The following is an 18,164-nucleotide window of genomic DNA, read 5'->3' as shown; positions in this document are numbered from 1 at the left end:
AAGCAGATTGAATCAATTGTTCCAGTCTATCTTACAGAACACTAATATTCGGTAGATATTTTTATAGATGAGGAAACTAGAGCTTAGATATTTAAATAATTTGTTAGTTTTTATAGCAGTATCAAGCCAAGCAATTTTAAATGCCAGTTTCTCCTATTATATTGCCAGCTGCATGCAGCAGGGTCCGAGGCTTTCTTATTTACCACTGTGTCCCCTGCGATTAATGTATAAAAGGTACTCAAAATGTATTTGCTGAAAGTTGAATGTTTCTTGTTATATTAGTGAGACCAAGCTGGCTATATTCTATATTAGTCAGTTAATCTTTTAGTATCAAATTAAAATATAAGGAATAACAAATTAATATTCACAGGACACTTTATTTAATAAATGATACTCAACTTATTGAGGTAAGTGTATTGAAGGAGTTGCAAATTCATTCAAGAGAATTCTTCCTGGAGACTGTGAAACTAATATGACAGCATTTTCTTGGACTAATGTGTTTAAACAGTGCGGAAACCTAAGAATCAACTTTTCCACAGATCTCTCTAGTTCTGGAAAGACTGAATTTGCAGCATCTGCTGAAATGAGGTAAGTGTTATTTGTAAACAAAATACTTAAATACAGGCATTTTGTATAAATTAAAACATGTATCTGCTAAGAAAATTACATTATCACTTAACTTTGCAAGTAGTTTGCCTAAATCAAATCAGAAATAAAAACGAAAACACTGGCATTTTCTGTCAAATGGTAATTACGGTGACTAAAAGTCTTTAGAAATAACTTTAAGTCAAATTAAAAATCTGCATCCAGGGCCGGGCGCGGTGGCTCATGCCTGTAATCCCAGCATTTTGGGAGGCTGAGGTGGGCGGATCACGAGGTCAGGAGTTCAAGACCAGCCTGGCCAACATGGTGAAACCCCATCTCTACTAAAAATACAAAAATTTGCTGGGCATGGGGGCGCGTGCCTGTAATCCCAGCTACTTGGGAGGCTGAGGCAAGAGAATCACATGAACCCAGGAGGCAGAGGTTGCAGTGAGCCAAGACCTCCCCACTGCACTCTAGCCTGGTGACAGAGTGAGACTCTGTCTCAAGAAAAAAAAAAAAAAAAAAAAAATTCAGCATCCAGATACTTTCTCACTAAAAATGCCACATGTGTTGTAATCAAGTGGGGAAAATGAAAACAGTCCACTGCACTTTAACCACCTAGTTGAATTTAGCTACCTATGCTTTAAAACTATTATTTCATAAAATAGGCTTCTGTTCTCTTTCACGGGTAGAAAACGTACTCTCTCTAACAAATATTTAACTATGTACAATATGTTGTGTTAGATCATGGTTTTTGTAAATGGTCCTGTCTAAATTTTAAATACAGGGAAAATATATATCTTCTTAAATATGTAGAAACTAGCCCCATGGTTATTATTCTCAAATATGAAAGAAGTAATTAAGGGCTGAGTACAGTGGCTCACACCTGGAATCCCAGCACTTTGGGAGGCCGAGGTGGGTGGATCCCCTGAGGTCAGGAGTTCCAGACCAGCATGGTGAACATGTTGAAACCCCATCCCTACTAAAAATACAAAAATTAGCTGGGCATGGTGGCACATGCCTGTAGTCCTAGTTACTGGGGAGGCTAAGGTAGGAGAATTGCTTGAAGCAGGGAGGCAGAGGTTACAGTGAGCCGAGGTTGCACCACTGCACTCCAGCCTGGGCAAAACTCCGTCTTAAAAACAAACAATAATAAAATGAATTTTTTTTAAAAAATGAAAGAAGCAATTATGGAATTGTTTTGTTAACTTGGTTAGTGAACAGAGCTCATAAAATGAGAAACAGAAGGTCACACTGGACCAAGGGACTGTATGCAGATTTAAAAAAAATGAATAACAGCTGCATTCACAGTCATTTATCTCACACTTGTGCACTGTTGCCAAAAGATGGATTTTTACAATAGAAAAATAAGGGAGACTAATAATATCCAAAGCCACTGTCACCATTAAAAAACTTCAAACCTGGGCCTGGCACAGTGGCTCATGCCTGTAATCCTAGCACTTTGTGAGGCCAAGGCAGGTGGATCACCTGAGGTCGGGAGTTCCAGTTCGAGACCAGCCTGACCAACATGGAGAAACCCCGTCTCCACTAAAAATACAAAATTAGCCGGGTGTGGTGGCACATGCCTGTAATCCCAGCTACTCGGGAGGCTGAGCCAGGAGAATCGCTTGAACCTGGGAGGCAGAGGTTGCAGTGAGTTGAGATCGTGCCATTGCACTCCAGCCTGGGCAACAAGAGCGAAACTCCATCTCAAAAAACAAACAAACAAACAAACAAAAACTTCGAAGTTCACATTTCTGTGTTGGTGAGACAGTAGCTTCATCTTACCATCCAGAAAACAAAAGTTTAAGTACTACAGTTCCATTCCACTTCTCTAGCTCACTGATATTGTTATCTATAACAGCAATCATTCAGAGCCAAATGCATATAGCTCTGCCTTTTGCCATAACACTGATAAGTTTGCTTTTGTTTGAAAATATTCAAAATAAAAGAGAAAGACCAAGTTTTTCCAGCTGTGAGAAAATAGGCATCTGATTGTAGGTTATCCAAGGATTCCATGCAGTGTTTGTATTTTTGTCTCTTTGAGACTTTCTGAGAAAATATTTGATACAGTGCTCAGATTTCATACGTTAAGGCACTACATATTGATATTTTACACACAAAGACAAGCAATGCTTTTCTGGTCCAACTCAACATGATTAATCGTTCTGCATTCAAGAATAAAACATTTCATTTGTAATTTTTTTGAGCTTTCACTTTTAATTAAACATAGGATCAGGGCATTATGTATATTTTATTTTTATTCATACTGGCCTAGGCATTTTCTTCCCTAATGATTCGTATTTGTCTTGTTAAAGAGAAGACAGAAAGATTATATTTAGATAATGTGATAAATATAATAAAAGTTTGTTCTTTCAAATCTTGATATATTGTTCTGATGTTCTGGTAGTTTCTTAATTTCTCCCATTTAAATGTGTCGACTTTTTACAGGACAATAAGAGCTAACATTGATAGAGTACTAACTGTCAGGTGCTTTACATGGTTTATATCATTTCTTCCCCACAAAAAACGTTAAAGTTACTGTTACTATTCCCCTTATATGGATGAGAACACTGAGTCGTACAGAATTGACCTGACCACCCCACATTTGCACACCTATTAAGAAAGGATGCTAGTCTGGGCTGTTGAACTATGCTCTCTGCAGAATAGGGTAGTGACACATATCTTCATAATAATGTAGCTTCTGCACAGTTAGTGAGTTTTTGAAAATAAGTTTCTCCATAAAACTGCATTACTTGGCTTATCTTTCAGATAAAAAAATGAAGCTTTACAGAATGAAAAGATACAAAATCCATAAAATGTATGGAAATAAGAAAAAAATCTCTTGCTCAGCAACAACTTGGCAGAACCAATCTGACCAATGTATAGCAAATATTAATATGTGATTTGCTTTTCTACATCTGCTGGTGTTTCACAAAGGACAAAAGAAATAATTGCATAGAAATTGCATAAAAGCCATATGTTCTATTAATAAAATTGACTAGACATTTTCAGCACTCACCACCAATGTCTTTAACCTTATGATAATATTATAGTTGATATTTACCTTTTAAGAAAAATACAAATCACTGTTTATTCCCTGAAGCTAACCTTACACATGCTAAATTATTTATGTATCCATTTTAATATGTATTTTGCATCTGACAGGACAACTCTCCTTAGGACCCTTTTACTGACCCACCTGTCATTATGATGGGGTAAACTATGTCACCTTTCTAGTGCACGATGAATTACAAAGAAGTTGTAAAGTACACCATCCATCATGCTGGCACTAAGTAGGTTTTTGAAGTAGATCTCAGATATCAGAAATGCTGTTTAGACGGTTACCAGAAAGCACAAATTGGAAGCTTACACAAAACGGTCCTATGATGAATGGACATGACAGCTCTTCCAAGAAAAGGGGCACTCCTCTTCTGCAAATAACCTTGTCAAAAGCAAAAAGTTGTGGGAAGCTTTGCTGGCAGTCAGACTAGAATAATTTAAGAACTTGTTAATGGCTCTGCAAGACAGAAATTCATGCAAACACAATGTACTCAAAATCAAAAAAAGAGGCATGCCTGAATCTTTAGCAGCAACCACTCAAGCTTGATTTGAATTAGGGAATGATTTAAAGTGATACAGAAAAATCACCAGCGCCTTATCTATTAGAACATGTGAGTTTCAATAATATATCTAAAACAGGCATATAAAATATGTGCAGGTATTGTATATGCATATATAATAGCCACCTAGAAATTGCTTTTGAAAATTATAATACTGATATAATCTGAGTTTTAAGAAATGAGTATCAATAGCATGTGCTTTCTTGATATAGATATTTAAATCAATATGTATTTAGTATAATAGATTTGCATTATTAATACAATCTTAAAATAGTGTCTTTATCTAATTTGCATAATTAATTTCTCAAATTATGTTCTTCAAATACAAGGTGTAAGGTTTATCCGTATTGCATTTTGTTTCCTTTAACAATCCCTTTTGTTTAGCCCTAATATTTCAAACATGGAGTATATTTCTACATCTACAGTTAACTTTATTTTCTCCCTTTTAACAGCTGCATTTTAAAAGTTTTTTTAAACTCTTCTTTATTTTAAAAAAGGCAGTTTTAATACACTTACAAATGGTGTCAGGATACTAAATAAGGACTTAGAACTATGCATATTTGGATAACTCCAGAAATCTGCAGTAGAGGTTGATTTTATTTTATGTGAAACAAAAGGAAATTTAAAAACTTAAAACTGTTAAGATAAACATGTAGAAAACTCTCAGAGATATGGTTACACAGGAATATTTTAAAAAAAACACCCCACCCAGTTTCATTAGCAAAATGAAAAAAATAATTAACTTTTTAAAAAATAAATGAGTACTCTTTGATAGTAAACAGATAAAACCACTGGTTGGTTCTCTTAAGTTTTTCATTTTTAAATTGGCTCTTTCAATACAAAGTCAAATCCTTAGACATAGGCGTGCATTGCCTTAACTGTGAAAGATGGAGACATACAAGAAAGTGTTACTGAACCCTATCTTATCCCAATTGTCCCATATGCTGTAATAGAAATTGTCATACAACATGCCCAGAAAAACAACACAAAAGGCCATTGTTATAGATACATACACACGTGCATTAGTTTGAAAGTTAAAATATAGTGTTTTTAAGTAAACCGGCTTCTTCTTTTGTGTCCTCTATTGACAAGAAAAAGTAAGTGAAAAAGAAAAAAAATAAAGAAGAGGAAAGAACCACATATATTTGGATAAGAAAAACAACTGTTTCATTTAAAGGGATCTAAAAAGACAGCTACCGAACATATCGAACATATAACCAAAATGCTGAGAATACAACTCCCTTATAACTTATAATTCTAAATGGGAGAGAGGCTGGGGGTGGAGAACACCATCGGTATCCTGCGAATTCACATTTCTAGTTTCTAAGGTCTGATGATTTGAAATTGTCAAGGAAATAAAAATGGTGCTCAAGTAAAATTTATGGAGGCTAACTTAGCCTCCACAAACAATGACTGCTAAATTTGAAAAAGATATTAAAATACTTTAGGCCTGAATATATTTTAATTTTAATCAAATCATAATTATAGGGTCCCTATAAACTAATCAATCAGTGGCTGCTTGGAATTTGGTGTGGCCTAAAAACATCTAGAAGAAAGGGAATAGGCTCAGTTTTTAAAAGTAAGAAGGTTGAAGCTATAGAATTTTGCAAATTCACATTTTTAACTTATTTCTTAAAATATTAAACCTCTCTACATATTAGTAATATTACATATATTTTAAACTAAAAAATTATTTTACATTAAAAATGAGATGACATTCAGTTGTGTGAAGGAGTCTAACAATGGACACTACATAGCCAAACATTTATTACTCTTACACACTACTTGAACGCAGGACACTTGAAGGTGAGGCTATCTAATTGCAGAAGTGTGAAAGAATAAAGAAAATAAAGGGCGAAGAATATTTATATATCCATCCTACAGCATCATCTGTTAGAATAAAAGGGATGATTAACATTTTTGTGATTCAGCCTAGACTTTTACAAAATATAAAAAGCAAACATACAATTACGTACAATACTCTGTGTCCAATATCTGCACAAATATCACAGGAAAGTGGATTTGCCCAATAGTGGAACTCTAGGGCCCAACAGATTCTTCCAAATGACCTTCTCCCTGACTTTCTTCCCTCCACCACCACCTCCATTATTATGAGAGTTTGCTGGTAGTGAGTATGAATCAGAAATTAGAAGTATACAATATCTGTTAATATACCCACCCCCGCTTTTTCTTCTTTTTTTTTTTTTTTTTTTGAGAAGGAGTTTCACTCTTGTTGCCCAGGTTGCAGTGCAATGGGGCAATCTTGGCTGACTGCAACCTCCCCTCCTGGGCTCCAGTGATTCTCCTGCCTCAGCCTCAGGAGTAGCTGGGATTACAGGAGCCTGCCACCGGGCCCGGTTAATTTTTTGTATTTTTTTAGTAGAGACAGGGTTTCACTGTGTTGGTCAGGCTAGTCTCGAACTCCTAACCTCAGGTGATCCACCCGCCTCGGCCTCCAATGTGCTGGGATTACGGCCTCCCCAAAGTGCTGCTATTACAGGCATGAGCCACAGTGCCCGGCCAGTATTCCTTTTAAACCAAGGCAAACAAATTGTTATTGAAGGGTTCATCTCCCATGTTTCCCTTATTATGCAGTAAGTCCGGAGTATAAAGGAGTCATAGAAATTTAATTTTCCAGATCCAGTGAATCTCCCCATTATACAGTAAGACCAACAAATACATGCTCCCATAAGGGCCTCGGAGAAGCTGCACAGTGATAGGATATCTCTTTCCTTGGTCAGTGTGGAAACTGTACAATATGAAAGTGCACGGGCATTGAGGGAGGGTTTTTGTGGTGAACCCGTATCTAAGGAACTTATTTAAATAAATTAGTTGATTTAACCTTATTCTACCTTCAATCCACTGGGCCAGCGGGTTATTACAGAGGGCCATGCTAAGGAAATAAGGATACAAGTTGTAGTTTCATGAGTTTTGCGTATCTCCTTCTTCAAGGAATAATCAATGTTCACCAGCGGAAATTGAAAAGCAAAGAGATGGGGAAGATTCCAAGGATCCACTCAAGTTCCTGGTGTTTTTGTGAATGTTCTGTGTTTAAGACATGCTTTTGTTTAGGAGAAGACATGAGCTGAGCCAACTGGGATAAAGAAGAGGTTGAAAATGCGTATGGCTTAGACAGAGTAAAGAGTTTTAGATAAAATATCGGGGTAACTTTTAGAGTCTTGGCTTAAGGCCAAAGCTTCTGAATCAAGGAAAGAGTGACAGTTGCCTTCCTCTATTTTTATTAATATACAGGTGTGTTACCATTATTACCTGCCAGAAAGAGCATAATATTAATCCAATCAAATTATATGAGTCCTACAGTAGAAATATTGCAGACATTTAATATTATATTGAAGTTTAATTAATGGTAAGACATTTCAAGGTGGTAATAGTTATATGCAGCTCTTTGGCTAAAAGTCAAAGTGTGATATATACAGAATAGAAACGATGCTGGACTGCCAGAAAATCTGCCTCTCCCTCCCACTCCCCCAAGATCTATTAGGAACGAGCATTTACTGTTATTATTTCAAATATTTATGCAAAGTAATTTTAAATGATTTAAACATTCCATATATCAATCAAAGTTAATAATAAGTTAGATTCTGAAACATTTGTGCCATTAACAACAGTCAGAAAGATAACATTATTTCATTGGTATTAAATGAGGCAATCAACAGTTTGATGGAAAAAAAAAAAAAACTAAGTGTATTTTTTAAAATTACACTTTTACATAGAGTTAGAAAACTAGTCCATAGAAAGGAAACTGTTGACCAATTACACGTTGTTATATCTAACTTGTATATTGTTCTTACTATAGGCTATGCTCTGTCCTCCTAGATTTACATATATTTGTAATTTTTTCTCACAACAACCTTATGAGTTGGAACTATTATTGACTCCAATACAGAGATGAGGAAATCAGCCCGTTTCCTCCCAACGGTTAAGTAACAGTGGTTAACTGGGGAGCTGAGATTTAAAACTAGTCCATGTGGCTCTAGAAGCCTTGCACTTAACCACAATGCCAAAAAAAAAAACTGCATCATAAATCTGCTGACCCAGAAAAGGTGAAGAACTAATACACACCTGGCTTATCACATGTGTTTTCCATCATGAAAGTAGGGGCGCTGTGTTTCAAATCTTAAATGTGTTAATAATCATATCAATTTTCCACTTAATTTCTTTTGTGTGTGCACAATCTCAAAACACAACCCTCTCCATTTCTTTCCCTTTCTCTATATCAGTGTATTAAATTTTGCCTCTCCAAAGCTGTAGAATGAAATAGACTTGCACTATATGGACAGAGCAAAATGTGAATGACTCAGTCACACATTCAACACCTTTGAATTAAATTTTTCTAACATGTTTTCACTTTCAAAATATGACAAGAAAAGGGTCAGGAGGGCCACATCTTCCTTCTCTTTCCTGGCACTTCCACACTGAAAAGATTTAATGGTTACTTTTGTATGTTGCATCTTGACAGTTAGTTCAATTTAGATGAAAGCTGTTATTTTCTAATTCCATCTCACTGTAAATGACAGAGACAAATGGTCATATTACCTTGAGAGTTCCTTTGGCAGAATAGGCTGCATATGAATAGAGCAGGTCTTGGCTGCTATCTTTTCTGGCTTCTTCACTGCAAGGCTGGCCATTAGGATGAAAGCATTGACCACTGCTGCTCAGAGTCACAGTGCTGGGAGAAGGGCCTGGCAGATCAAGCAGCACAGAGTAATTTACAAACTGTACATCTTCTAGGCCCAAAGAGGTCCACTGAGTCTTAATCTTCTTTGAAATTTCCATGTCATCTTCATTTTTATATAGTTGTACCAAATTTCTGAAATAAATTTGAAAAGAAAACTTTTTTAAAAAGGAGAATACTTTATTCTTTTGAGATATGACTGCTCAATATATGAACAATATTAATAGATGTTGTGGAATATTGAAAGATGAATGAGACAGGACCCTATCACATGAAACATAAACACAAAACAAAGTGGAATGAATTAGTTTCTTAAATTAAGAACTGACGGCCCTTGTGGTAGCTCATGCCTGTGATCCCAGAACTTTAGGATGCTAAGGAGGGAGGATCGCTTAAGCACAGGACTAGCCAGGGCAACATAGCGACAACCTCTGTCTACAAAACATTAAAAAATAAATTAGCCTGATGTCCTGGTATGCATCTGTGGTCCCACCTACTTGGGACACTGAGGTGGGATGATCACTTGAGCCTGGGAGTCGGAGGCTGCAGTGAGCTAGGATGGAACTATTGCATACCAGCTTTGTCAACAGAGTGAGACTCTCTCCAAAGAAAAACAAACAAATAAAACAAAACAAAACAAAAAAACCCACTAATACAGCACTATGGCATTGCAGAGAAGAGTGATATTAATGCTAACTAAATCTTCTATTAGTTCTGATCCTTCTATCAACATCAACATAATACACTTAAAAGTCCATTCCAAAATCTAGGTGTCATTCCAGTTGAGACATTTCTTTGTTATAGTTAAGGTGATTTCATTTAAAACAATATGATTGACATATAGTTATTGCTATTTAAAATAATACAGAGAGAGCTGTTTAGATACAAATTTTATGCCAAATTACATGATGCTATGAGCACAATGTTTTCCAATAAAACCGAAACAAAAACAGAGATTGCCAAACCAATGGGAAATTAATGTTGTGTTGTACTTTCTGTACTTTGTATATTTATTTCTATACCTATCCCATAATCCAATGACACGATTTTTGCTTATGACATACTAGAAGCCAGACAAATCTGTTAAAAATTTTGTATAGTACCTAGAACAGAATCAGACATGAGAACTTAATAAAAATAATTTAATCCTGAGAAAGTTTTTTTTTAATTTTGTGGCTGAAATATTAATAAAAAGGGACCTAAAAAGAAAAATTTCCTTTTGGGGCAAAAATGTATCTTCTTAAAAGAATCTTATTGCTATACAAGTTATTACCTAAGTGTTTATTTTGATATTACTGTTATTTTTGCCCATCACATTATTTTTCTCACTTACTTCCTCCAGGACCCTGTTTATTCAACAACTCCTAAACTGAGCTTGTTCAACCTATGGCCCGTGGGCTGCATATGGCCCCACGACAGCTCTGAATGTGGGCCAATGCAAATTCGTAAGCTTTCTGAAAACATTTTGAGACTTTGTAAAAGATTTTTTTAATTTTTATTTGAGCTTATCAGCTATTGTTAGTGTTAATGTATTTTATGTGTGGCCCAGGACAATTTGTGTTTATCCAGTGTGTCTCAGAAAAGCTAAATGATTGGACACCCCTGCAACAGTACATGCCTGGAAAAGACATAAGAAGCAGACACAATAGTGGTAAAAAAGCATTACACAAGATAAAAGGTAAGTCTGAGGCCACAGCTTACAAGGTGGCCTACACAGGAAGATGCAATAAAAACAGTTTCTCGGTTATCTCCTATCTTTGTGAAGCTACTCCTATTCATGCTTTCTTCCCACTTCTTTTCTTCCTTCTTCTTCTTGTTCTTTCTTCTTCCTCTTCCTCTTCTTCTTCTTCTCTTCTTGTTCTTCTTCTTCTTCCTCTTCCTCTTGCTCCTTCTCCTCCTCCTCCCCCTTCTTCTTCCTCTTCCTCTTCCTCTTCCCCTTCTCCTTCTTTCTCCTTCTCCTTCTTCTTTTTAAATATCTACTTGGATCAGTCAACAGTGCCACCTAAATTTTATGGAATAGCTGGTGAGAAGAATTATATTCTTTTTCATTACCAGTAAGAGGGCTCTGCCTTCCACCTTGTTTTGTTGTTGTTGTTACTTTATCTGTTCTCTACCTTTTCCTACCCCCTTTCTCCATTGCTATTGCATTCTCTCTGTATTTTTGGGATAGAGCAGGTAAACTGAGTTAAAAACAACACAATTTGACAGGAAAGTCATTTACAAAGGTGAACCAATACCTTATTCTGTTAAAATCCATATAAAATGAGGTTTCAAAATATATATTTTATTTATACAAACATAGCAATATATCAGTAACATTGACAGACAAAGAGAAGAAAAATGCGAAGACTGCTTTATATTTTGTTTGCTCCTCTACACTGTTAATTGATGAACATAAATCCACCAGGGAATGTGCAAGATGTTTAATCTGCCATTCCTTTTGTTGGTCTCAGTTGCTTTATGGTGCAAGCAACTGAAAACATTGAATGTTTATACTATAAGGCCTCGAAGGCAAATGAAATACTTCTTTTAGGGCTCAACTGAAGAATTAGTAATTTTTCCCAATTGTGGAGGATTTCTAAATATTTGTCAGTATTAAGCTAAAATTAATGAGTGAAAAAATGTATACAGTCTTTACTTCACTTTTAATTTATGGGATATGTACTTTATTACATCATTTTTAATAATATGAAATAATTTAAACACATAGATAATATACAACGTATACGATGTATAAAGAGTAGTGAAAGGAACCACCCAGGTTATGAAGAAGAAGATCTCTAATATTATCAAAGCCCCAAGAATAGTTTTTCTCTATTCAATCACTTACCTTGATCCCCAGGGTAGCATCAATCTGACTTTGTTGCTTCCCATTGTCTTTTTTTAATAGGTTTATATACATATATGTATATCTCTTTAACAATTTCTTTAATTATAAGTGTTTTTACTTTTACAAAATTGGTATCTTATATATGGTTTTCATACTTGCCTTTTTTACTCAATATTGGGTGTCTGAGATTCCTCCAGGTTTTTAATCAGTTTTCCTAAGATAAATATTTTGAAGTTGTTTTCAGCTTTTCACTATTGTAAACAATGCTGCACTGGATATTCTTATTCATGTTTCCTGATAGACATATGCAAAAGTTTCTTTAGGCAAGGGATTATTGGTCCATAAGGTATGCACCTGTGTAACTTTATTCCAAAATGCCAAAATGCCTTTAAAAGATTTTTGATTACACTCTTGCCATCTTTTTATGACAGTTCTACTTCCTCCATTCCTCGCCAATAGTTGGTATTGTCCATTATTTTATTTTACTTTTAAATTTTATTTTATATTATACTTTTGTCAATGTAGTGAGTGTAAAGTAATATTTCATTATGTGTTTAGCTCAGAAGTACAACTGCCGGATTGCAGGATATACTAAATAGTTTTCCAAGGCTTCCTTTACCACCCTCTGCTCCTGTATCTAATTTCCGCTCTACAATGAGGGTAAAATTATATCCCATTGTGGTTTTAATTTGCATCTTCATGATTACCAGTGAGGAGCTTTTCATGTATTATTTAGCTATTCATGTTTCCTTTCATGTAGAATAACTGCTCTTGTTTTTGCCTATATTTATAGAAGTTTTTGTATGTTCTGAATAATCTTTTTTAGGTCATATGTGTGGCACATATTTTATCCTAGTTTTTGTCTTCTCTTTTTATTTGCAATGTATTGTCTTATGATAAGCAAAAGTTTATAATTTTAATGCATAGAGCTTTTAATATAATTGTTTTCACATTTTCTGATGTGCTTAAGAAATCCTCAATGCTGTGGTCATGAAGTTATTCTCATTTTTTTTCCTAAAAAATTTAAGGAGTTGTTTTTCACATTTCAGTGTTTATTTGGAGAATGTGTGTGTATGTGTGAGCAGGTGTGTGGTAGGAGGCAGGAATCCAATTTCCCTTTTTCCAACATGAGTCCTAGTACCCCTTGTCAAATATGCCCCATTAATGTGCAATGACAACTCTGTCGTATATGAGTTGCCATATGTGTTTGGGTGTGTCTGAGTTCCCAAATCAATTCCATTTGTCTTTTTCTTCCATATCCATAATAATGTGCCGTTTTCATTATTACAACTTTATTATAGGTCTTAATATACAGAATGGGCAAGTCACACTACTTGTTCATCAGGAAATCTTAACTATTTTCCTTTTATCTTCCATATGAATATTGGAATGAGCTCACTAATTTCCATGCCAACATTGTGACTGGAATTACATTGAGACTAAAGATCAATTTGGGAAGAAATGCCATCCTTATAATAATATATCAATAAATCCTTAATATTATTGCTGTAGTCTGAATGTTTATTCATATGTTGAAATCCTAACCCCCAAGGTGATAGTATTAAGTGTTGGGGTCTTTGGGAGGTGATTATATTATATTATCTTTCCATCATGTGAAGACACAGCTAAAAAGCACCATCCATGAGGGAGCAGGCCCTTACCAGATACCACAGCCACTTTGATCTTGAACTTCCCAGCCTCCAGAATTATAAGAAATAAATGTCTGTTGTTTACTAATTATCTAATTTAAGGCATTTTGTTATAGCAGCCTGAACAAATTAAGATAATGGTCAAGTGTTTGGTCAATGTTAACATAAAAATATGTTTTAAAATTAAAATATTTCCTATTGCTGGTGTAGTGGAATACTATTCAGTTGTCCTATAAAGAAAACCTGCTAAACTCTCTTTTTAATCATAACAATTTTCTTCATTTTTTCTATGTAAAACAATTATATCACATGCAAAATAATTAAGGTTTTATTATATCTCTTCTAATTATTTAGAGATTTAACTTTTTTTTTTGTTTTACTACACAGGCTATGACCTCCAGAAAATATTTAAAGAAATATTAATGTGTGATAGTAGATATCCATGTTATAATGTATATGTCAGGTTAAAGATGTTCCTTCCATTCTCATGTTGTTAACAGCTGTTTTATGAATGCATATTAAATTTTGTCAGAAATTCCGATACATTTATTAAGACAATTGTATGTTTTATTTCTTTAATTTGGTGGATTACGTTAGTAAATTTTTTAAATAGTAAACTTGCATTCCTAAAATAAGCTGGACTACTATAATGAATTATAATTTTAGCTATCATGTGATATATTTTGCAAATATTTTATTATTTTCACATCCATTTTTAAAAGTAAATTTGGCATGTAATGTTCCTTTCAACTATCACTTCTGATTTTGATTTGTAATATACAAATCTCACAAAATGAGATAGCAAGCCTTCCTTCTCGATCTACTCTCTAGAAGAGGTTGGATATTATTAGAATTTTTAAAAGACAAACTTTTCTTATACTAAAAATTGTCTGTACTTGATATTCTCATTATGGGAGAACTATGAACTGCTGATTTAATGATTTTAATTTAAGAATTTTTTAAAATGTATTCTTTGAATCACAGCTCTTTCATTGCACTCCGTGCTAGCTTACATAAATTTTCTAATTTCTAGGTTTCTGGTTTCATCATCTGCCATAGTACTTTTTTTTTTTCCTTGGGAATTTCTCTTATGATTCTGTCACCTCAGGATAGTAGTCCTTCAAAGTAGTTATGTTATAATGTATTCAGCATATATGCGTTTTTCAGAATATCTATTAACAAATTACTCAAAATGGAAATGCACTATAACACCTTAGACATGATTTCTTTGTAGATATTGATTGCTACTCCCACAATATCCAAGGGGGAAAACTCTGGAAAAGTAGTTAAGAATTATGGCCTAAGCTGTTTCTTCCACAGACTTTCATAATAGAATAGATACTTGTTCAAAATTGATTGAGGTGATACCATTTGGCACATTATCTCACCAATTAGAGATTAGATTATTCAAATCTCCTACACTCTGGTTGTTGACTGGATTCAAGGGAATATGAGCACACCTTTATAGAAACCTAGAAAATACAAGTATATCAATAAAAAATGCATACTAAAAGATGATAACAAAGTTTTTGGATACACATGATTGTAGAAATACTGGTCTCTAGAAAATATGATTTCTTCATAAACAGTGGCAATATTTCAAATAGTTAATCATAAGTTTAAAAATAACTCTTAAATTGTAGTCTTCCTAAGATTACTTTTAAATTCTGATGCCGTTTAAAATTTTATTTTAAATTTATCAAGTTTAATGTACATGCTTCTCTTGTTTAAGAAAATGATTTCAGGAGATCATATGAGTTCATAGTTCTACAATTATGTAATTTTTAAATTGTTTTAAATCAGCCTTCTTTGACACAGTCTTACAGCTACAAATGGTTTAGTCAAAGGGTTCTATTTATTAATCATTTCAAATCATTTAGAATGTTAAAATAAATAGATTTTATTGAGAATGTCAACAGTTTATTATACATTTTTTCCCCACAATAAATGTTTCAGGATTTATGGTGAACCACTCTGCTATAATTAGGTAGTTTGCTGTATTAAATGAGAAATTCTATTAAAGAATTAACTGCAATATAATCTAAGTTTACTAATTTCAGAGAAATTTGCAAAAATTGAAGGGTATAACCTAAAATCACACGGTATTTATTTGACAGAGTGTTTTACTGTGCTTTACTTTTTAAAATAAGGGTTTCCACGGGCCAGTAGTTTTGGCAGGCAGCATAATGAACTGTCATGCCTAAGACTTGAATTTGGAAGTAACTTTGGCATTAATGTTCCATTGGCCAATGGAGATTAGAAATGGGAGAATTTTGGCTTTAGTAGACAAAATTCTGTTTATATCAATGTTCAACACCTGCTACTGTATGAGCCACAGAGCAACAGTGATGTCAGAATTGGAGGAAGCCAGGCATGTAGTATTCCTAACACCAGGTTGAATGCCAAGAGTATACTGTAAATGAATGGGGAACAAAAACATCTAAAGAACGATGAACTAGAAGTACACATGGAAAAAATCAGCACATTTATTAATGCCTATTAACATTTTCTTATGTGTATTTACAATAACATATGCAGATACTCATACTATACCGGGTGATATTTCTAATATAGTATTAAAAAGTCAAACATTTCATTAGGTTGTTATTTGAATTGGTATCCAATGTAGTAAAATTCTGCTAATCATGTACTATATATGTGTGATAAATTTAAAGATTACATAGGATGAAATTACCTTTTAATCTCATAATTTTGCTTTGAAAATATTAAGATTAAAACACATGATAAACTGTAATAAACATAGCAGCAAGGAATTAAATGGTTGAGAGGGAAAGGCAGCATCCCGTAGCCTTCCCTTGCAACAGAGCCACTAATGGCATGCCAATGAAACAATGGTTTCTTGTTCAACTACTTCTTACCTTCTAAAATAACATAGTAACTACAAATTTTATATTAAATGTCTACTATTATGCTTAATCATCACAAAAAACTCTTGATATAACTACTATGGTTGCCACTTTACAGATAAGGAAATTGAAGGCTAGATAATGCAATCAAGATGTTGAACGTCCTAGATTAAATAAGTCAGTTTTCTACTATTCTACACTGAATCTCAGATTTCCACTATACCGTGCTATTTAGAAAAAGCAGCTAGTTTCCCAATCTGAGATGCTTTCCAAAAGCAATAAAAATGATGAGTGTTAGAAAGCACTGTATCTGGGTAAAATAAAAGTTAGATAGTAAGAGGTAGGTGGAAATAAATCTTTATGCTCATGAGAAAATGATGCTCAGGGAAATTAATGTAGCAATGTAAAAAATACAATAGAATGAATTTCACAGTTTGGGAACCATCTGAACAAAGAAGAAGAAAACAGATTCTTTATACATTCTGTTTAAAAATCAGTTCAGAAATGGATTATCTGCCAGAGAACGTAATAGTCTCTCCTCTTCTGATCAACGAAAATATGGTACATATCTGCCTGCTCTACAAGTAATAGAAGGCATGCTGATGGGCTCAGTGCCCTCTACTTAAGTCCCAGGCAAAAAGCTGATACTCAACAAATACTTTAATTGATTTGGTATTTATATCAATTTATGTTCCACGTGACAGTAAGATAAGCTTGATTTAAAAACCAGAGCACACAGAAATATAACAAACTGTCAACACATCTACTATTACCTGTGCCAGAAAAAAAATCCAGTATTATAACTCTACATCTTTCACTCTTGCACACATTTGTGCAGGAGATAATTTCATCTCTGGTTAACAGTGAGTGCATATTTGGATTTCAAGAGAGAAGAACACAATAGGGTATCTGAAAGCAGACTCACGGAATGGACAAATTAATCCAATCAGTAAGACAATACGAGTCTTCAAACTTGGGTGGTCAATACACAGAAACTTTTGATAAAAAGAGTCATTATTTCTATTTTTTTCAAGTAAGTGAATAGATAACTGAATAAATAATTGGGAGAAAGTTTTTCCATTTTGATAAGATTGTAATAGAAATGACTAGCCTTTATCACACTTCAAAATAAGCATATTTACTTTACCACACTTCAAAATAAGCATATTAAACACTAACAAAGATTCCCTTTTCTTGTCATTAACACAAAGATTATTAATCTCTTTCAGTAATCTTAAAAAATTAAGCGTTTTAAAAGACAGGTAGTAGTCTTACCCTTTTTAACACATCCTGAAAATTCAACTATAGAAGTCTAGCACTTAGTAAATGGTAACCACAATCAATGTTCAGGAAATATTTTTTACTAAGTAAATATACCTTTAAGACTATATTGAAAACCTAATTTTAAGATGTTATATACTTATTTTAGTTTATTTTCTAATACAGCAAACTGAATCTTGAGTTCTTCTGCAAGACTGACTAAAATGTAATGGTAATTTTATATAATGGGGAAGATATATTTTTAAAATAATTTTTAGATGTCATCTCTCTGCGACAATGCAAACAGGTTAAGATTATGCCAGAACAATAAATTATAATGATTATGTCAGAACAATATTTAAAACTAGTAAGAACTTACATGTTATTTTTCAGTTGTTAGCCCAGACTACCTTCCTTCCTGGGCAGACTCATTTCAGCACCAAACACTGAAATCATCTCAATTAAATCAACTTGTCTTGACATGTCAGGTTACAAAAATCATGAGACAACTAACTTTTAACCCACCCAAACTTATGAAATACATCGAAATCAATCTGTAGAGATGGCTGGCCTTTGGAAGTAATGATAGTATGAAAACAAAAACGAAAATTATAAGTTCTAAAACAATAGAGATAAAACGTGTTTTGAAGCATG

The 18,164-nt window shown here is 33.9% G+C and overlaps 1 protein-coding gene and 1 long non-coding RNA gene across 24 annotated transcripts in view; one reads left to right on the top strand and one right to left on the bottom strand.

Moving 5' to 3' along the window:
- The window catches only part of NAALADL2-AS2 (NAALADL2 antisense RNA 2), a 36,005-nt gene extending 28,127 nt beyond the window's left edge, over nucleotides 1-7,878 (top strand). Inside the window, exons 2-3 of the long non-coding RNA NR_046713.1 lie at nucleotides 540-588; nucleotides 7,161-7,878. This is a non-coding gene — a long non-coding RNA (NAALADL2 antisense RNA 2). The remainder of the gene's footprint in view (nucleotides 1-539; nucleotides 589-7,160) is intronic.
- Nucleotides 1-18,164, bottom strand: part of NAALADL2 (N-acetylated alpha-linked acidic dipeptidase like 2) — a 1,369,567-nt gene that overhangs the window by 567,579 nt on the left and 783,824 nt on the right. For all 23 annotated transcript variants that reach the window (XM_017006077.3, XM_047447876.1, XM_017006075.3 and 20 more), the window contains one exon: nucleotides 8,766-9,039. In XM_017006077.3, coding sequence (XP_016861566.1) covers nucleotides 8,766-9,039 — 274 coding nt within the window. The remainder of the gene's footprint in view (nucleotides 1-8,765; nucleotides 9,040-18,164) is intronic.

Source organism: Homo sapiens, chromosome 3 (assembly GCF_000001405.40).
Source record: "Homo sapiens chromosome 3, GRCh38.p14 Primary Assembly".
In the NCBI taxonomy this organism is placed as follows: domain Eukaryota; kingdom Metazoa; phylum Chordata; class Mammalia; order Primates; family Hominidae; genus Homo; species Homo sapiens.
Note: the sequence above shows the minus strand (reverse complement) of the source record. Positions and strands in the feature narration are given on the sequence as shown.